Raw genomic sequence first — 9,199 nt, forward strand, 5'->3', positions numbered from 1 at the left:
TTCCTGTGGTCCCAGCTACTGGAGAGGCTGAGGCAGGAGGATCACCTAAGCCCAGGAGTTCGAGGCTGCAGTGAGCTATAATGGTGCTACCGCACTCCAGCCTGGGTGACAGAGCAAGACCCCATCTTAATAATAATAATAAATAATAATAATAATAATAAAGAGATGGCAGAGACAGAGTATGATATATGGTGAGGATATGGAGGCAAGGTGAGAGCTGTGCTCAGGACATTTTGAGTTTGAGGAGATGTCCAGCAGGCAGATGGAAATACAGGGGAGTGTTCTGGCCTAGGAAGAGCTGTTAGTCCAGAGATGAGAGTTGTGACAGTCAAGGCCACGGGAATGGAGAGGAATGCTAAGAGAAACAGGCACATTTAGAGGTCACCACATTTCGAGGTCAAGTGGAGGAGAAGGAAGAGTAGCCAGTGAGATAGAAGAAAACCCAGAAGTTGTTTATTTGAAGCAGATGAGAGGAAAAACTGTTTCAAGGAGGAAGAAGCTGTTCACGTGTCTAATGCTACTGCTGAGCCTTCAGATGAAGACAGTAGAATGACTGTTGCATTGGCTACAGGGAAGCCATTAGTGTCCTTGACAAGATCTATTTCAGAAGAGGTAAGGGGGCAAGGAAGCCTGATAGAAACAAGTGGAGAAGGGCATGGGATGTGAAAAAGTGGAGCAGCAACATTTGCAGGTTGTGGTGCAGTCTGTGGTTGCCGTCCTCCTGCCCTGCTGCAGGTCCTATGTGTATGTATTTTTAAATCAATGTATTTAAGTACTATAACAACCACAATAGTAACTGACCTCTGTAAAGGAATGTTTAGGTTACTAAACACTTTTACAGGTTATCTACTCTACTTACCAGTTTTTACGTACAGTTTTCAACCAATATTGCCTTTCAAAAACAGGAAAAGATAATCTTCACTTAACCAAGATTAGCGTTTTTCATTTTCCCCCGAAAGTCCAGAATGGGAATGACTTGACATTGAAAAGCCTTACCAACAAATTAAGGAATGACACGTAGGCAGCACAGTCTTTCAAGGGGCTATTTTCCAAAAATTCATTTAAAAAACAGTTCTTGGCTGGGCACGGTGGCTCATGCCTGTAATCCCAGCACTTGGCCGAGGCAGGTGGATCACCTGAGGTCAGGAGTTTGAGACCAGCCTAACCAATATGGTGAGGCCCTGTATCTACTAAAAATACAAAAATTATTAGCCGGGCGTGGTGGAGTGTGACTGTAGTCCCAGCTACTAGGGAGGCTGAGACAGGAGAATTGCTTGAACCCGGGAGGTGGAGGTTGTAGTGAGCCCAGATCGCGCCACTGCACTCCATCCTGGGCAATAAGAGTGAAACTCCATCTCAAACAAACAAACAAAAAAAAATCAAAGATGACTTAAAAGACTGGAGAGACACAAGAGTCTTGGATACGAAGACTCAGCATAGTAATGATGTCAGTCATCCCCAAATGATCTACGGATTTGACATAATTCCTATCAACATCCGAATAAATAAAATAAAATAAAAACCAGTTCTTGTCCCAAAAGTAATTGAAATACACTTCTTTTTCATCAGGAAAACAGTGTCTAGGTTCCTAAGATGGCCCACAAATGCCCATTTTACCTCCCACAATTCTGCTGAGCTGCAGTTCACACTCATTACACTAGCCTACTGTTGAGGCAATTCCCTCTGGAACTGGGGAATTCCACCAATTCCCTCTACTCCTTTAATGAGTATGATTTGCCTAAAAAGCCATGTCAGGAATTCCGAAGTCACCCTAGACCTCTTCCTATCTCACATCTTCTATATCCAACTGGCCACTAAAGCTTATCATTACTACCCTTCTCAAATCCACCTCACCATGCCGTATTTCCATCAGCTTTTACTTGATTCACGTCCTGAGACCTAGTCTCCCTCATAGTACGTGAACTACATAGTACATAGTACATGGAGTGAGGAGGGTAACATGCCTTAGCGGGATGATGGTTTCTCGGAAGTTGGTAGATTAAGAGATCAAAATATGGAAGGGGATATCCATGTTGGCAAGGATAGATTTGACTAAAATGTGCTATGTCCAGTGAACGAACAAATGTACCATGCAATGTTAAAGATTTTGAATACTGGTGAATATTCGTATGGAGTTGGTTTTGTATGTAAGTGTAATATTGATGTATTACAGTTGATTAGGAGATTGCTAATACTTGCTTATATGCATGTACTGTAAGCTGTTTAGTACTATAAGGCTTATGTATGTACTATGTACAATCAAGCATTAATAGTACTATATATTATTCATGGGGACTAGCAGGTTGGTAGCCAGGTGACCAGGCCTCCATTTCCTCTGCCTGCTTTTTAATGATTAATATTCCTCAGGCTCTTTTCTTTGTAAAAGTCTCATCAGGGGTGGCACTACTGGACCATCTACCATGGCAACTATGAATTCATATTTTCAGCACTGATCTCTCATGTGCTCCAGATCCACAGATTCAATGATCTATTATACATGTTTGCGGACAGCTAAAATTCAATAGGCTCATTTTTTCTTTCTTCCAAAAAATCTACCCCACCCCCTAGCCACCACCAATTCCCTCTACTCCTTTAATGAGTATGATTTGCCTAAAAAGCCATGCCAGGAATTTAGAAGTCACCCTAGACCTTTTCCTGTCTCACACCTTCTATATCCAACTGGCCACTAAAGCTTATCATTACTACCCTTCTCAAATCCACTTCACCATGCCGTATTTCCATTGGCTTTTCCTTGATTCACGTCCTGAGACCTAGTCTCCCTCATTCAAGTCTATATGCAACCAGATATGATCATTTCTCTGTCTTCCTAAAAGTTCAGTAGCTTCCTATTGTCTGCAGTAGCATTTCTCAAACTGGCAAAAGAGTACCTTCAAAATTAAACAAAAAATTTCAAAAACCTCCCCTACATAAATTGAACTGGATTAAACAATGTTAAGCAGGCCTCTCACTAGCAAGGTTTTGAAATCTTACAATGCACAATACTACATATTTCCCTGTCATGAGGAATCGGGGTGGAGGGGAGCCCCAACTGGGTTCCAAGGACAAAGTCAAAACTTATTGCAAGACATGTAAGATCCTACAGATTCTGGCCCTGCCTAGCTGTCAACGTGATCTGCCATTCATCAATGATTATCATTCACCCATTACAAACCTTACGTGTCATTCACTTACAACACAATCTGTAGTTCTTCAAAGAGCCCTACTGTTTTCTGACTCTAAATCCTTTATATACAATATTCCTTCTGCCCAGAATGCCGCCCTTCTCTAACTTAGTCTGGTTGAAGAGCTCCTACTTGCTCTTCCAGGGCCAGCTCAGGCTACTAAACTTTGATTGTCCCTTCCACCTCCTAGCAGAGGACTCCTTCAACCTTTGTCCTGCCTCTGCAGATATCAGAGCGCTTGTCCAACACTACTGAATTTAGAGACTAAAAACCTTAAAGGTTGGGAACCAGGCAGGCATCCAGCAGTGTAGCTGAATAAAGGAGACAGGGCAAGACTCGGGGAAGAAGGGGTGGAATCCCTCTTCTTTTTCTAGTCAAAATTTGACAACAAAGTAATTTTGTCTTTGGTATGCTCCTACATCTCATCCCTATCCTCCTTTCCCAGCTCTCCCAATACCCTGTGATATGGTTTGGCTGTGTCCCCACCCAAATCTCATCTTGAATTCCCACGTGTTGTGGGAGGGACTTGGTGGGAGGTAATTGAGTCATGGTAGCAGGTCTTTCCCGTGCTGTTCTCGTGATAGCAAATAAGTCTCATGAGATCCAACGGTTTTAAAAAGAGGAGTTTCCCTGCACAAGCTCTTCTCTTGTCTGCCGCAATGTGAGACATGCCTTTCACCTTCTGCCATGATTGAGGCCTCCCCAACCACATGGAACTGTAAGTCCATTAAACCTTTCTTTTGTAAATTGCCTAGTCTCAGGTATGTCTTTTTCAGCAGCATGAAAACAGATCAATACACCCTGTGTTCCCAGGTCCCTTAGTGACCTCATGTAACTCTATACAACCCCCACCACAGCACTCTTCTTCAGATCAACTACTTGCTCTTCCTCTTAATCAGGAGCCCTTCTGTTCAGAAATTATTTTATTTTATTTTATTTTATTTTAGACAGAGTCTCACCTTGCTGCCCAGGCTGGAGTGCAGTGGCACGATCTTGGCTCACTGCAACCTCCGCCTCCCAGGTTCAAGTGATTCTCCTGCTTCAACCTCGTGAGTAGCTGGGATTACAGGCTCCCGCCACCATGCCAGGCTAATTTTTTGTATTTTTAGTAGAGACAGGGTTTCACCATGTTGGCCAGGCTGGTTTTGAACTCCTGACGTCAAGTGATCCACCTGCCTCAGCCTCCCAAAATGCTAGGATTACAGGCGTGGGCCACCACACCTGGTCCAGAAATTGATACATAAATGTGTGACAGCTTCTTGTGGCTATTAACCTAAGATGAATCTCTAAGAAACAAAATTTAAAAAGAAGTATGGAGAGGATAAGGGTGGAGCAGGCACTGTAACACACAGAAAGGCCTGCTACAGGTTCTTTGCCTGGAAACTAAGATCAGATCCTCAGTGGGCTGCGCAGGGGAAGTCATTCCAGAGAATTTTATGTTCAATCAACGTGTAACACCTAACACGCTCCTACTTGACACAGGCACACTCTTTCCTAAATGCATTCCATTCCCTCAACTTTCCAAAGTTCCCATAAGGAGTCCTACTATGTGCTAGGAATCCAGCACATGCATGATAAAACTCCATCATTCTTTTTTCATCATTTTCAACTGGCTACTATTAAGTGCACCATATGGGCCCTGAGAATGAAGCATTGAAAAAGGCAAATTCATGGAGTTTACAATCTAGTGGAAGACACAGATAAGGAAAACAATAAATAAACGTGCCATTTTTCTGACAGCAATGAGTGCATTCAAGAAAATAAAACAGGGCCGGGCGCGGTGGCTCACGCCTGTAATCCCAGCACTTTGGGAGGCCGAGGCGGGCGGATCACGAGGTCAGGAGATCGAGACCATCCCGGCTAAAAAATGGTGAAACCCCGTCTCTACTAAAAATACAAAAAAATTAGCCGGGCGTAGTGGCGGGCGCCTGTAGTCCCAGCTACTTGGGAGGCTGAGGCAGGAGAATGGCGTGAACCCGGGAGGCGGAGCTTGCAGTGAGCCGAGATCCCGCCACTGCACTCCAGCCTGGGCGACAGAGCGAGACTCCGTCTCAAAAAAAAAAAAAAAAAAAAAAAAAAAAAAAAAAGAAAATAAAACAGGGTAATAGGATAAGTAGTGATAGGGCAGGGGAGTGACAGAGTGTGAGAAGGGCTCCTTTAACCAGGATGGCAGAGAAGACCTCTCTGTAGGGAAGACGTTTGCATTCTTTTTTCTTTTTTTTTTTTGAGATGGAGTTTCACTCTTGTTGCCCAGGCTGGAGTGCAGTGCCGTGATCTCCGCTCACTACAATCTTTGTCTCCTGGGTTCAAGCAATTCTCCTGCCTCCCAAATAGCTGGGATTACAGGCACCCACCACCATGTCTGGCTAATTTTTGTATTTTTAGTAGAGATGGGGTTTCACTATGTTGGCCAGGCTGGTCTTGAACTCCTGACCTCGTGTTCCCTCTCCTCAGCCTCGCAAAGTGCTGAGACTACAGGTGTGAGCCATCATGCCTGTCGGATGTTTGCATTCTTCATAGAGTTCTATTTGTCTCCTTCCTCACAATGACAACCATAACAGCTACATCGGCTGCTGCTACTGCCACAAATACAATCTCTGCTAATATTACCACTGCCACCTCAGTATCCATGAGGAAGACCCTTCCACCTGTGGCCTCTTCGTTCCTTGACTTCCTCTCTTTCAGTGATCTTGTCCACCCTGACCCACCTCAGCCACTCACTTCCATGATCATACCCTAGACCTGACCATTACCAATTTTTCTACCAAAACTTTCAATGTCTCATTGCAAGGCTAGATAGGAGACTACCATCTTCTCCCTGTCCAGCTCGCTCCCACTAGTGACTCTAACTATCTTTGCCTGCATGAGACGTCCAATCCATAGATCTTCCTTTGTTTTCACTGTCCCCCACCCACTTGATGTCCTCTCTCCCCAACTTACTGAGCTTTCCTTCGATGCTTAGTCACTGTAATCACTCTCTTGCATACATTCCAGCTCCTCACCCTCCTCACATCTGCATACTCACTTGACAAAATCCCGAACCTGTTTCGATTCAACTCTCTGCCTGCTCTGCACCTGCAACTGACATGTGGCTGAGGGAAAATACAAAACCACGATGGCTGATGACTGGTCTCACTTTAAATTAATGACTGCTAGCCACAAGTGAGTCCTTAGAGCTGCGTGCCTGGCAACCAAACTAGTTCCCTAGATATTCCTTCTCCAAGTCTCCTAAAAGACTGTTACATCTATTCCTCTCTCTTCAAAGTGCCAACACTCCCTCTCCCATCCTCATTCTATGCAGATGATCTCATTTCCTATTTTATTGAGAGAATAGAAGCAATCGGAAGATTAAAAGGACTTCTCAAAGCTCCTACAACCAAATATGTTACAATGGAAGAGGTGTCTCCCATCTAGGGGCAACTCTTCCACTTGTCTACTAGATTCCCACCCCTCTCACCTACTCAAGATTATGGCTATAACATTTCTCCTGTCTTCTAAATCATTAATTTTTCCTGCTCTACCAGATCATTTTCATCAGTGAACAAACGTATCTCTTGACCCACTTCCCTCTCTAAGAACTGCCCCATTTTTTCTCTTTCCTTTTACACTAAAGCTTTGGAAGTGTTGTTTCCAAAGTCTCTCCCCTACTCATATTCTTCCTCTCTCCTCTCTCCCTGCTTCCCCCCACTGATTCATGTTTTTCTATTCCTCTTGGACACTAGAACTGATCCACTGCATCTTCTTGTGCAGCGCTGTCCATGTCCCTGAGACACCATGGTGAAAATGAAGGCCAGAGTAAACGAGTTGGCTGTATTGGGTTCCTGGTCACCAAGGCTGCTTTTAACTCTGGCAAAGTGTATATTGTCACCACCAATGACCCCATCATTGACCTCAACTACATGGTCTACATGTTCCCTTCTCATTCCACCTATGGCAAGTTCCATGGCACCATTAAGGCTGAGAATGGGAAGTTTGTTATCAATGGAAATCCCATTGCCATCTCCCAGGAGCGAGATCCTACCAAAATCAAATGGGGTGATTCCGGCATTGATTATGTTGTGGAGTCCACTGGTGTCTTCACTGCCATGGGGAAGGCTAGGACTCATTTTCAGGGGGTGGGGGGAGCCAAAAGGGTCATCATCTCTGCCCCCTCTGCTGATGGCCCCAAGTTTGTGATGGACATAAACCATGAGAAGTACCCAAACAGCCTCAAGATCATCAGCAATGCCTCCTGCACCACAAGATGATTAGCCCCCCGGCCAAGATCATCACCTGACCTGCCTTCTGGAAAGACCTGGCAAATATGATGACATCAAGAAAGTGGTGAGGCAGGCATCTTCACCTGCCTTCAGGAGGGCCCCCTCAAGGGCATCCTGGGCTACAATGAGCACCAGGTTGTATCTTTTGACTTTAACAGCAACACTCAATATTCAATTTTCGATGCTGGGGTTGGCGTCACCTTGAACGACCACTTTGTCAAGCTCATTTCCTGCTATGACAATGAATTTGGCTGCAGCAACAGGGTGGTGGACCTCATGGTCCACATAGCCTCCAAGGAGTAAGACCCCCTAGACTGCCAGCCCCAGCAAGAGCACGAGAGGAAGAGAGAGACTGGACTCTCAGCTGTTGGGGAGTCCCTGCCCCACTCAGTCCCCCACCTCACTGAAATTCTCCCCTCCTTAACACATTTTCATGCCAGACCCCCTGAAGAATGGGAGGGGCCTAGAGATCCTCACCTTGTCATGTACCATCAATAAAGTCTCCTGTACTCAGCACCCCCCAAAAATCTGATCTCAAGAATTCTTAAGAAATGTAACTCCATGAGATTTACAAGACTTCCTAAGTTCTACAATGAGAATTCCAGTTGTACCAGCAAAAATGTCTGGAACCATAGGTACAGAAAAGTATAAGGCCATACATTAAGATTTTTCTATTGCATTTTAAAATGTATAGTTGTTGAGGTTTTGGGAAAAATTATAAAAATAGAGAAAACTACAGAAAGTAACATCATACTTATGTTCCCATTATCCAGGACTAATGACTGTGAATATTCTGGCATATTAGCCTCATGTATTTAAAATTTTTATTGTGGAGAATTTCAAACACATATAAAAGTGGAGAAGAGAGTAGAAGGAATAGTATGATCAATCTCCAGGTACCCATCAGTCAACTTCAAAAATGATCCTGCCATGGTGAACATTTTTTCATCTGTTCCCTTACCCATTTCCCTCACAAATTGTTTTGAAGGAAGCCCCATATATTGTATAATCTTAACTACAATATAATCAGTATACATCTGTAAAATGTATCTTTGATATCCTCTTCACATTTATAATAGCCTCATGATGTCACAATTTTTTTAAGTTTGTTTAAATTTGGTTCCAAATAAGGTCCACACATTGCAATTACTTGATATGTGTCTCTTAATCTATAAGTTCTCCTGCCATCTCTCTCTCTCTCTTATTTATTTATTTTTTTTTGAGACGGAGTCTCACTCTGTCCCCCAGGCTGGAGTGCAGTGGCACGATCTCGGCTCACTGCAACCTCTGCCTCCTGGGTTCAAGTGATTCTCCTGTCTCAGCATCCAGAGTAGCTAGGATTACAGGTACCCACCACCATGCGCAGCTAATTCTTGTATTTTTAGTAGAGACGGGGTTTCACTATGTTGGTCAGGCTGGTCTCGAACTCCTGACCTTAGGTGATCCACCCACCTTGGCCTCCCAAAGTGTTGGGATTACAGGCATGAGCCACCGCGCCTGGTCTCTTTTTTTCTCTTAAAATGTATTTGTTGGAAAAATTGGCTGTTTATCCTATAGAATGTTCCACAGTCTGGAGTTTACTACTGCATCCCTGTGGTGTCATTTAACATGCTCTTCCATCGTTTGAATTTCCTGTACATTGCTGGTTGGATCTAGAAGCTTAATCAGATTTGGGTTTATTTTTTTGGCATGATCACTTCATTGGTGGTGGTGTGTCCTTCCATTAGGAGGTACAGAGTTGTCATAATGTCTCTGTGT

At 44.0% G+C, this 9,199-nt stretch overlaps 1 pseudogene; it reads left to right on the plus strand.

Annotated features, from left to right (window-relative positions):
* On the plus strand, window positions 6,915-7,942 carry GAPDHP67 (glyceraldehyde 3 phosphate dehydrogenase pseudogene 67; annotated as a pseudogene).

The sequence above is a fragment of the Homo sapiens genome, chromosome X (genome assembly GCF_000001405.40).
Source record: "Homo sapiens chromosome X, GRCh38.p14 Primary Assembly".
NCBI classification, from domain to species: domain Eukaryota; kingdom Metazoa; phylum Chordata; class Mammalia; order Primates; family Hominidae; genus Homo; species Homo sapiens.